Source organism: Homo sapiens, chromosome 3 (genome assembly GCF_000001405.40).
Source record: "Homo sapiens chromosome 3, GRCh38.p14 Primary Assembly".
Taxonomy (NCBI): domain Eukaryota; kingdom Metazoa; phylum Chordata; class Mammalia; order Primates; family Hominidae; genus Homo; species Homo sapiens.
In genome coordinates, this window is record NC_000003.12 from 61,729,642 (window position 1) to 61,742,375 (window position 12,734).

The following is a 12,734-nucleotide window of genomic DNA, read 5'->3' on the forward strand; positions in this document are numbered from 1 at the left end:
GGAGTTATATGGTTTAACATACTCATTTTTTAACAATTCACCATGCATTTAAAACATGAGCCTAGTGATTGTTAGAACAAAGGAGGGAAATACACTGAAATTTGAACAGTGGTTATGGTTATTTTTATTTTCTTGTTTATGCTTTTTATGTACTCTCTTGCCTATTTAATGTACTCTGCTCATTAATGTACTTTGCCTAATGTGCTTCTATAGTGAATATTTATTGCTTTCATTATCAGAAAAAGCAATAAATGCCATTAAAAAAAGAATTCATCATGGAAATGCCTAGATATGTGATAATATAATGATTGATTAGTTTCATGGCTCCCAAGATTGTTGCCCATAACGTGGTGGTTCATTTCGTTTGCTCCATGAAAATGATAGTGCGTCTTATTTTGCACCTGAGATATGTTTAGATGGGTCTTCCTTAGGTCTGCTGCGATTTCTTTGACTGAAGGGGTTTGTGACCACCACGGGGCATGTAAGTTGCTGGTGCCACTCCTGGGCAGCTTGCCTGTAAGGGATACCGTCTGTGTTGGCAGAACCAGGGGCTTGTCCTGCTGGGCTGGAGCCCACCAACTGTTGCAGCTACAGTGCCTCAGCTGTCGTGCTTTTACACTGTCATTAGCCATGCAGACCTTTATGGCTCAAACCAGGCCACATCTGTTGTGAGTCCTGTGACCTTCAAAACCCACACCAGGAAGAAATGCAAAACACATTTTTATCTCCAGGCTTTCTGCAAACACATCATTTTAGAGGGCTTATTTAAGAATGTTTTTCTAAACTTATAAAAGACTTTCATTTTTCTTGTCTTCCATTAACAGCGGAGGTTCATTGTTAATGATTTGAGCAAATTAGTGTTGCTCAGAAAGTAGTTTGTTAACCACTTGCATCTGATCACAGGAGTTTGTTAAAAATATTGTCTCAAGCCTCACAGTAGTCCAGTGGAATCATGATCTGAGGGGTGTGTTTGTCCATCCACATTTTAAACCAGTGATTTGGGCATTTAGGGCTATATGCCCTAAGGGACACTCTCTTTTAGAGAGGTAGGCATGAAGTTAGAAAGGTGACTCTAAGATGAGTGGTCATGTGGTGAATTGGGCACCTCCAGGAGTGCCTAGACTTCTTAGAAAGTTTGCTTTTGTTCACTTATCACATTATTGAGAAAGGGAGAGTAAACTTTAGGGAAAGGGGTTCCAAAGTCATGTTACTTGCAGAGTGTTTGTGGCCATTGAAAGATTGGGAACTGGATTTCTAGGTTACAACATTGATTCATTTGGCTATGCTTTTCAGAAATAGTAATGACTATAATGAAATTGTCCTATTTTCTGTATTTGCTGTGGGCCCCTTTAACTCAGTTCCCTCTGAAAACCTGTTGAACACTGTTCTACTCTTTCTGCATTATTCAATGCCAAGCCAAGGTGTTAGGCTTCCTGATGGATTTATGAGCCTCACATTTCCATTGCTAAAGCAGTGAATAGACCAAGGAACGATTTGGCTCCATAAAAATAGTTTTTACCCCCGTTGAGTTAGCAGTCTCTTGAATAGAAAAAAGGAAAAGAGAAAAAGTAGAGTTCCCTTAAATTGTGGGGATGGGATAGGTAGAGAATTGAAAGACAGAGGGTTTGACTAGTTTTGTTCTTGGGGACAGGAACATTAGTAGGGAGTATGCCATGAAGGAGACACAGAAGCTCACTTTCCTTTTTCCTTTTTTTTTTTTTTTTTTGAGACGGAGTCTTGCTGTGTTGCTAGGCTGGAGTGCAGTGTCACAATCTCTGCTCACTGCAACCTCCGCCTCCCGGGTTCAAGCCATTCCCCTGCCTCAGCCTCCCGAGTAGCTGGGACTACAGGCACGCACCACCACGCCCAGCTAATTTTTTGTATTTTAGTAGAGACAGGGTTTCACCATGTTGGCCAGAATGGTCTAAATCTCCTGACCTCGTGATCTGCCCACCTCGGCCTCCCAAAGTGCTGGGATTACAGGCGTGAGCCACTGTGCCCAGTCAGAAGCTCCCTTTCACAGTGCTATGCAGGGCTTTAAAGCCACACATGCCAGACATTCTAGATGGAAATTTCTTTTTCCCATTTATTTTTCCAGCTTTTTCTGTAGTTCTCCACTGTCCAGTAGGAATGGAACGTGAACTGCATAGGTACTTTTTTTTTTCTTTTTTCTTTTTTTTGAAGCAGTCTGGCCCTGTCACCCAGGCTAGAGTGCAGTGGTGAGATCTCGGTTCACTGCAACCTTCACCTCCCAGGTTCAAGGGATTCTCCTGCTTTAGCCACCTGAATAACTGGTATTACAGGCGCCCACTACCATGTCCAGCTAATTTTTGTATTTTCAATAGAGACGGGGGAGTTCACCATGTTGGCCAGGCTGGTCTTGAACTCTTGACCTCAGGTGATCCACCTGCCTTGGCATCCCAAAGTTCTGGGATTACAGTGGTGAGCCACTGTGCCTGACCCACATAGGGACTTTTAAATTTTGTAGCAGCTACCATAAAAAGTAAAAAGAAACAGGTGGAATTAATTAGAATAATTTATATAACCCAGTATATCTAAAATGTCATTTTGACATGTAATCAGAATTTTAAAAATGTTGATGAGATATTTTGCCTTTTTGTTTCTTACTAAGCATTTGAAATCCTGTATTAGCAGGCCGGGCGCAGTGGCTCATGCCTGTAATCCCAGCACTATGGGAGGCCGAGGTGGGCGGATCACGAGGTCAGGAGATTGAGACCATCCTGGCTAACACGGTGAAACCCTGTCTCTACTAAAAATACAAAAAATTAGCTGGGCATGGTGGCGAGCACCTGTAGTCCCAGCTACTCGGGAGGCTGAGGCAGGGGAATGGCATGAACCCGGGAGGCGGAGCTTGCACTAACACGGTGAAACCCCGTCTCTACTAAAAATACAAAAAATTAGCCGCGCATGATGGCGAGCACCTGTAGTCCCAGCTACTCGGGAGGCTGAGGCAGGAGAATGGCATGAACCCGAGAGGCGGAGCTTGCAGTGAGCCAAGATCACTCCACTGCACTCCAGCGTGGGTGACAGAGCGAGACTCCGTCTCAAAATAAATAAATAAATAAATAAATAAATAAATAAATAAATAAATAAATAAATCTTGCATTAGCTAGGGGCGACAGTGTCGGACAGCACAATTTGGAAGGGTGCTTCTTATCCCCACTGCTCAGTTAAAATGTGAACATATGCCTGCGTGGAACATTCCCTTTTTCTGTTTAAAAGAAAGTGAATTGTTTTCGCAGCAGTTAGTTGGTGTTAGCATAATGCCTTCCTGTGTAGGCTGTAGTGTTAGAATTCTCTTTACAAGCCTTGTAATAATTTTCAGGAATGATCACTTTTATTATAGTATTTTTAGTGCCACTAGAGGGTTTTTACAGTGTGAAATCTCTTAAAAGGACAGTCAAAAACATACTGTGTTTCTTGTGGGACACAGGGTTGGGCATTTAAGTACCTAGTAGTGTTCTTGAGACAGATTCTATGAAATTAGAATTGTCCAGGAGAAACCCAGGTCAAAGGTCACTTTGTATCAGTTCAAACATGTTCTATATTGGTATTTCATGTTTGGGTCTTTATACTCTGTATATTTTGTGAAATAACTAAATCTTCATGATTCATTTCTATGTTGTAGCCCCTCACACTTAATTAGGGGGTCCCAGTGGAGCTTCCTTTCCGTTTCTCTATCTGTTTAGAGTGTCTGGGTGTGTATTCATTTCTCTGTCATGTGCCATGTGACTTTGGCAAGGTCCTTAACCATTCTGTGCCTAGATTGCCTGGTTTTTAAAATGGGAATAATGAGAGCATTTATCCCAGAAAGCTCTGGTGAGGGTTAACATGAGATATTTCAGTTGAATAGATCAGCACAGTGCCTCCTGGTACATGGTAAGTGCTAAAGAAGCATTACCTATCACCAGCACCATTACTCATTTTCTTTGTGAATTTTAGCAACTAAAGCAGAGCAGGACAAATTTTAGGAATGGATTTATTTCTTTGACATTGAGATGGAGCTTTAAAAAGCATTCCTGACTTCTTCCCAAAACATAAATTAAAAATCTTTGTTTCTGCCACAATATCTTTAGTCTCATTTCCCTGTTCCTTCTACTGTTTCATCCTGGGATTGATCAACTCTTCACTTTTGTTTTGTTTTATTTTATTTTGAGACAAAGTCTTGCTCTGTACCCAGGCTGGAATGCAGTGGTGTAATCTCAGCTCACTGCAACCTTTGCCTGCCAGGCTCAAGCGGTCCTCACACCTCAGCCTCCCAAGTAGCTGGGATTACAGGTGCATATCACCATACCTGGCTAATTTTTGTATTTTTTGTAGAGATGGGTCTATCATGTTTCCCAAGCTGAGCTCAAGTGATCCGCCTGCCTCGGCTTTCCAAAGTACTGCGATTACAGGCATGAGCCACCACGCCCAGCCAACATCTGTTCACTTTGGGTAAATTATTTTAATAAGAACTCTCTGGTTAGAGCATGACTGTTAAAGAGAAACTTCCTAAATGCATTTTACAAAGTGCTTTTTCTCTTTCTCGCTTTTTCTGAAACACTGGTTCTTGAATAAACCTCAGATATCATGTATGATTTCTGAAATACCTAAAATCTGCAGGCTTTTTTCTCTCCTACTTTTTGGTTCCATTATGTTAAATATCAAAGAATAGATTAACCAGAATATGAATGGACAGGCATGCAAGAAAAACTGGAGGTTTCCAGTTGCTCCTAATACCATCTATTTCTCTCACCTTTTCACTTAATACTCACTTACTGATTATGCAGAGGTGATATTTAAGAACAAATCCATTTAATAAACCTTTGTAAGTAATATTTAAAGGAGTGTTTATTTTTCAGAATTCACCCAGGATTTCTGTGATCTGCGGTTCTTTGGCTTTGGCACCCGGTTGTCCCAATTTGTTCCAGAGTATTTTACTGCATATGCGATGTCTTTCTCGTTTGCTGTCTATAAATCAAAGGAAGAGTTCGTTTCATTTAATTTTGCCTGATAGGGAAACCCCCAAAGATACAAAATGACTCTTCAACGTTAGTGTATTTATTAAAAATAAAAAAGGAAACTGCCTTTTTGTTCTCCTTCCTATCCCAAGTTTGATTGACCGTATTGCAGAGTCATAAAAGGATTTATATTCAGAGTTGAAAAGTCTCCCTGAAATTGATTTCACCTAGCTTCTTGTATATAAATAGATATTGAGAGGGGGGGAATAATACTGAACTGAAACTTTCAATTTTGAATGTGAGCTTTCCAAAGTCATGAAACTGCTTTTCCGTCTGACTCTTCAGATGGATCTTATAGCATAATTGGTCAGAGCCAGAGGAGGTTTTTGAAAAAGCATAGCCAAAAAAGAGAAAGGAAACAAACCCCACTTTTTTAATAGCTGCAGTTTCTTCATCAGGAAAGGACTTTGGTTAAATAGCTCTTCTTCCCAAAAAGGCAAAACATTTTTCCTCATATAATTAATTTAAGAAATTGCTTTTAGAGCTATTTAAACAGACCTAGAGATAAGTGCTTTAGCCATCTTGATGTGCTCTAGCGAAAATTTTTATGTGGTTAGAATTTTTTTAATTAAATCACTTCATTTAAGATTGTAATAGCCCTTTTAAATTATTTTCCTTGAGACTCGTATTGTGTTATTTCAAGTTAATAACTCCTCTTCAAGCAAAGCAAAATGCAAGATATTTCTTCTGATGATTTCTTTCTGCAATTGAAGAGAACAAAGCCAGCCTCATTCTTGCTGGAAAGGAAGCAAATCTAACACCTAATAAAAATGGAGATAACAAAAATGAACCTGTAGCCCTGGGATATTCTGACTAGCAACATTAAAGTGGTTGCCTGGGCAATACTAACCCCAATTCCTTGAGTTTTTTTTTTTTTTTTCTTTGAAATGCCGGGGACAGGCCTACATTGATTGAATCAAACAAAGCCGATGAGAGGCCTGTGTTTGAGGGGGAAGAAATGTTCCTACAGACTTGGAGTGAGGAAGAGAGCAGTGTATTTGGAATTTTTCTACCCAAAGCATATTTGTCCCTGAATACAGATGCATGATTATAGAGCCATCCTGAACAGGTGCTAAAGACAAAGTCTTTCTCATTGTGCAGAGACAATTTACCATAGATTTAATTTATTAATTAGCCTTTACTTAGATGTGCTCACACCGACTTACGGAAAAGTTCTTTTTAGAATTGTTTTGGGAGGCAGAGTTGAGGTTGAGGCCATGCTCACATCCATGTTAAAACAATGATTTTTTTTTTTTTTTGGAGACAGCATCTCGCTCTGTTGCCCAGGCTGGAGCGCAGTGGCGTGATCTCAGCTCACTGCAACCTCCGCCTCCTGGGTTCAAGTGATTCTCCTGCCTCAGATTCCCGAGTAGCTGGGACTACAGGCGCAGGCCACCATGCCTGGCTAATTTTTTGTATTTTAGTAGAGATGGGGTTTCACCATGTTACCCAGGCTGGTCTCAAACTCCTGAGCTCAGGCAATCCGCCTGCCTCAGCCTCCCAAAGTGCTAGGATTACAGGTGTGAGCCACCGCACCCGGCCATTTTTTTTTTTTTTAATTTTTTAATCATCACTGACATAAGGTTCCTCTGAAATCCATAGTAGAGCCTTCTGTACCTCTACAAGTATCATACAGGCAGGAAGTTTTTTTTTCTTGTATGATTATCAAGGGTGTAATTTTATGTACTATATAGCTAAGGGAAAATTTAGTAATAATGTATATTCTTTCTTTTCCTTATTTTCTCTGTGAATACTTGTATTTGGCTTGATTCTCATTAACTATTATCTTTTTTTTCCCCCATTGATCTGTCTAAGCAGTTCATTTTGTGAACAATCCTAATTCAGATGAAGAAGGGTGAAGGTGAAGTTTGTAAAAATAATATCAAAAGAAATCTAAAAACACGTTCATTAGGCATTTGACCAAGTAAATATAAATAGATGAGTTGAATATTTGTTTTGCTTTCCAAACTTTTTCTTCCAGGAGCACTCCCTCCACAGTCCCCTGTGCACAGGTGGAAGTACACACTTAACAATGATTCGTCTTGACTCACCCTGGGGATCGGAGTGAGGAGCCACTGTTTCTGCTCTTGCCCGCCTCCCTCCAATCTGTTCCCTGCCCAGCAGAGTTGTTTTTACAAAGCATATATTGGTTAAAATGTTCTAAAATTAGATTACAGCAATGGTTTATGCAAGTCTGTAATTATACTAAAAACCATTATATCTCAATAACGCTGCTTTAAAGGAAGGCATATATCAGACCATATTGACTGCCATGTTGGTTCTTCATTGCCTTCTTAAGTTCCTTTAAGGTCCTGAAGGATCCTGACTTGGTGCATCTTCAGCCTCCCACTTCTCCCCAACACCAGCTCATCAAGATTTACCAGGGTGGATGCCACCCTTTTTCCTGCCTCAACATCCTTGTATGTGCTGTTCCCCTGTCTTTGAACCCTATCATCTCTCCCTGTCAATGCCCTCAACTAAAATGATGTTTCTTTTCTCCAAATGATGTTTCTTTCCCTGCCTCCTCTCTCTCTCTAAGTACATTCTTTCCCTGCTTGTATTCTCTGTGGCTGTATCATGTGTGTTTCACTTTATTTTCATGTTGTTCAGTCATTATACAAGTTTTGCTTTATGTGTTTATTGATTGCCTTCCTCATGGACTGGAAGCTCCAAGAGGGCAGGAACGGTGTAGAGTATATACTGTTGAATGCCATGGCAGCATCCTGTCATGGAGAGACCAAGAAAACTTGCCTAAATCTTACCAAACTTCCTAGAAATTATCTTTTTGATAAGCAGGAGTTAGGAGCTACTTAAGCAGATGGTGGGTGTTGGAGGTGGAGTACATAGTTTGCTGACCAGAAGCACAAAGCTTGGGGAATAGATGGCGATGGGCTATTGAGTGGCTGACCAGCTAGGGTTCAAGTGGTTTCTTCAACCTGGCTCTGGAAGTCAGAGGTCTTTGGTTTTACTCGGGGGAGAGTTTTGGAATGAGGTCCACCCCCTTCATGATACGGTGTTTTAAGCAAAGGGGTGTCATGGTTGGAGTGTCCCCTGTATTTGATCCCCAGACGCAGGTCCTAGGGCTTGTGCATTCAGGGTGTTTTCTACCATCTACCATGTTTAGGGATTATCTTGGTGGATATTTTTGTTATTGTGAAGCTTACTCATTTCTAAGTTCTGGAATTATTAATCACCTGCTTGCTCCTGGCACATTTTGCTAGAGGTTGTGGATATGCTGAGGTTTTTTTGTTTTTTTTTTTTAAGACGGAGTCTTTCTCTGTCGCCCAGGCTGGAGTGCAGTGGCGCGATCTTGGCTCACTGCAAGCTCCGCCTCCGGGGTTCACGCCATTCTCCTGCCTCAGCCTCCCGAGTAGTTGGGACTACAGGCGCCCGCTACCGCACCCGGCTAATTTTTTTTGTATTTTTAGCAGAGATGGGGTTTCACCGTGGTCTCGATCTCCTGACCTCGTGATCCACCCGCCTCGGCCTCCCAAAGTGCTGGGATTACAGGCATGAGCCACCGCGCCCGGCCTATGCTGAGGTTTTAAAATGGGTACCCAACCACATTTAAATAGGGCTTCTTTGTCCATTTTTATATATATATATATATATACATATATATATATATATATATATATATATATATACATATATATATATATATATATATATGTATATATATATATAAACCTATTTCATTCAATATTTCACATGGAATGTGCATGTAAAAATGACTCAACAATATAAAAGGCCTATATAAAAGGCCTATTTCTTTCAAATACCAAAGTTAGGTGACATAGTTTGTTTTGGGGTTTGGCACAAAGTTACTAACCATGGTGCTCTATTCGACTTATACAACTGACAAATAACTGCTGGATGAATCTGCTTTTTTTTTTTTGAGATGGAGTCTCGCTCTGTTGCCCAGGCTGGAGTGCAGTGGTGCGATCTTGGCTCACTGCAAGCTTATTTCTCATGGATAAAAATGTGTTAGGCAGTCACAATTACACATTTTAAATGAAAGATAACATGAATCAAGATAATTTATTAATCAACATGTCACTTTCTTATTTGCTTCCTTAACTCAAGTTGTAACTTAATGCTTACTTCTTTATTTTTATTTTATTTTTGAGACAAGGTCTTGCCCTGTTGCCCAGGCTGGAGTGCAGTGGTGCCATCACGGCTCATGGCAACCTCAGACTCCTGGGCACAAGTGATCCTCCCGTCTCAGCCTCCTGAATAGCTGGAACCACCTTGCCTGGCTAATTTTCATTTTTATTTTTGTAGAGATGGGGTCTTGCTCTGTTGCTTTTTTTTTTTTTTTTTTTGTTTTTTTTTTTTTGGTAGAGATGGGGTCTTGCTTTGTTGCCTAGACTGGTCACAAACTCCTGGGCTCAAGCTCTCCTCCCTGGTTGGCCTTCCAAAGTGATGGGACTTGGCCTATTTGAAAAAAAAAAATTTTTTTTAAGGCTAGTCAAGGGAAGCAGTGGGAGTGGAGAAAGAACAAAGAAATCTGTTCCTGGTTGTGATCAATTTGATACATATTTCTGCTTGGCTTGGAAGTGACTTTCTTATTTATAGACAATAACCAAAGTTTGTGTAGTTGTAATTGGAAGTTAGAAAAATCACTCTACATTTTACTGTTAATAATATTGGGAACATGATTTTATCTTAGACAATTGCCAATAGTGGTGGAAAGACTAACCTAGACAACTTCTTTCTTTTGGAATTGTTACATTTTTAGTTTTATGAGGCTCATGTAGAAATTTTTCACTTGTGATGTTTGTTTACCTTTGAGCAAGTGGAGTAGCTATTCATATTAACTCACAGATATTTTTATGATGCCTAAAATTCAATTTTGTGAAGTATAGTTGTAGTGTAGTATCAGTTATAGAGGACTGAGAGTAATATCTGGTTCAGACCTATGTGTTCTTATGTAAGTAACATACCTTTTCTGAATAATTGTACCTAAGCTACAGGACTACTGGAAGAATTACATGAGCCTGTGTATTGATGGTAATTTTAATGATGCTTTCCTCATAGGCAATAATTGACTTGATTTAGTAAATAACTTATGATTGGGCCAGGCCATGGGTGCAAACACAGATGGCCACAGGGACTCTTTAAGAAATACAAATGAACAAGTGGGACTGGGTGGAGAAGGCAGCTAGCTGGATATTCATGACTCTTCTCTAAAGAGCTACTTGCTATTCACATAGCATATTGTTGCCATTTGGGAACATGACCCAGCTCTCACATTTTAAAAAAATGAAAATACAGATATTGGTGTTCTCTCCTGGGGTTTTCCACACTGGCAACTAATGCAATACGCATACACCCATGCATACATGTACAGTGGGTGAAACAAAAGTTCAGATGGGTGGCCGTGTTCAGCATGGTGGCCACCAGCATGTAATCTCTCTGCTGTTTGCCATTTCTGCTGGCCATTAAAGATATAAAGAGATGCCACAATTGTAAAATGGAAAGTACAGGTCTGTGGCCTTTGATATTACACCAACACTGTCTGTCACTGATCTTCATTTTCCTGGTAATATTATAGAATCAGGAGATTTGTTTCCTTGAGAATCAAACAGTAGTAAAATGGCCTGAAAGAGTAGTCATTTTATTTCTGTCTGATATTTGATGCCGTGAGCCCAAATTTTTTTAGGAAGGTGCCTGTGAGAAAGAGGGAACCATGGTATTTTTCAGATTTTCATCACAAATGTATAATGAGCTCCATTATAAATCAGTTTTATAAGTGTATCTTTTCTGAGATCTGTTGGAAAGTGTGTATTTTTTAATTTCTGAAGTTTTAAAACTGACAGAGTTAATGGCAGAGGAATGACTCCAATGTTTTGTCCATTTTAGCCCTTATTTATTTTTTTTTAATAGATTCTGCCCTTTGTAACTGACACTATTTAAGAGTAAAATAATAGAGGACTTCAGTATTTTGTTCTCTGCCTGGCTTATAGCTCATTTTTACAATGCTTTTTTTTCTGTTTGTTTTTCCCTCTAGGATACGACATTGCTGTGTGATTCCTCTTTCCCTTGAATTGCCTCTGAGTTTCAGTACTTTATTTTACTTAAAAAACATCATGGCTCTATATTAGGTCTCTTTATTCATGTAAGGTGATGAAAAAAACTTTTTATAGTTGAAACAGTAAGTATATTTGAATATGATAAAATAGGGAATCTAGTGTAATATAATCTATTGTATTTGAGGTTAGCTCAGTATTACAAACAACTAGAAGGACCATTTATAATGCAGTGCTTACAAAGGAACACACTTTTTCATTTTACTTTTTGGGACACTCACCGAGCACATTTTACTACAATTGATTGAAATACAGGCACAAAGGAAATGAGAGGTTGATCAGAATATTTAATTACTTTTAACTTAATTTGATACTTTTGCCCATTGTAGGCATAAAAAAAGATTTTCATTTTAGACTATTGTGTGGGATTTAATGTTCTTAAATGCTCTTTAAAATTTAGAGAAAATTGTGCTCAATGGAGATTTCACCATCCTTGAGGGATCTTTAATTTGTTTGTTGATGTGCCATTAAAATAGATATAAACAACCTACTTAACTGCTTGTCTGCCATTCTGGATATCTTCGTTCTAGATTTGACAATGTGAGTGCCTGTTGCTTGTTTTTAGTTGGCTTATGTTTTGGCAGTATATCTGGGAGAAGAACTAGGACTCTGTATATGAGAACCACCCACCCATCACCCTAAGTAGTTTTCATTTTGGCACTGGAGAACCAGAATTTCTTTGTTCTGATGTTTTCAATTTTATATGGAAGCTGACCTATTCTCCCAGGCTTCTAAGTCCTTTGGAATGACCTAGAATTGGACATACAGTTAATGAGAAATACCCTTATGTGTTACTACGCTGTTTTGCTTTGATCATAGGATGTGCAGCCATATTGTAGATGGAACTTTGGGATGTTCTCATCACAGACTTACTCTGCTTTCACCTTTGCATAACCTTTGTCATATAATCACTTTTCCCTGTAGGAGATAATGACATAGCAGAGGTCAAGTCGACATGGCTGGTTCAATACAGTCAGATGAACCAGTGTTGTGGATGAATGCCGGGGTTATTTTGGAATCCTTTGTGGCCATGTATCTTCTTTTCTTGGTGGACACCTCAGACTTCCATTGACATTCATATACACAAATCTATATGTAAATGGACCACCTTTGTCAAAAACAGTAAGACATTCATTGTACTCTAATTTCAATCATGAATTTGCAATCTTGTAGGAAAAATATTCCCTATGGATATATTATGTAACAACATTTATTCATATTCAATATAGACTCAGTGACCCTTTCATCTCTCTGAGAGTAAAACTTAAGAAAAAACATCTATGTCACGAATGCTGTTTCATGTGGTATTCAGAGGAGCCGGGCTCTTTGTATGAAAAATGTTTAGACTGCAAATTAACACAGAAGAGTTAACACAGCTTGCAAGTCTTTTTTTCCCCGGAAGTCAATATTTCTGTGAAACACTGAGAGTAAGGATTACACAGAATCCTCCCGAAGACACAGTTAAGGCAGATGGGATACACATCTGCTTTTTTATTCTGGAATAAAAACATTTATTCTTATAAACTATGTCCGGTGGCTCTGGGAAATTAAATGAGGCACGTAGGAAACAGTTGCGTTGATATCTTCAGTAGTAGGTGACTCTTAGGACATTTTTATA

At 39.3% G+C, this 12,734-nt stretch overlaps 1 protein-coding gene across 6 annotated transcripts in view; it reads left to right on the forward strand.

Annotated features, from left to right (window-relative positions):
• Positions 1-12,734, forward strand: part of PTPRG (protein tyrosine phosphatase receptor type G) — a 736,039-nt gene that overhangs the window by 168,071 nt on the left and 555,234 nt on the right. The window lies entirely within an intron of this gene.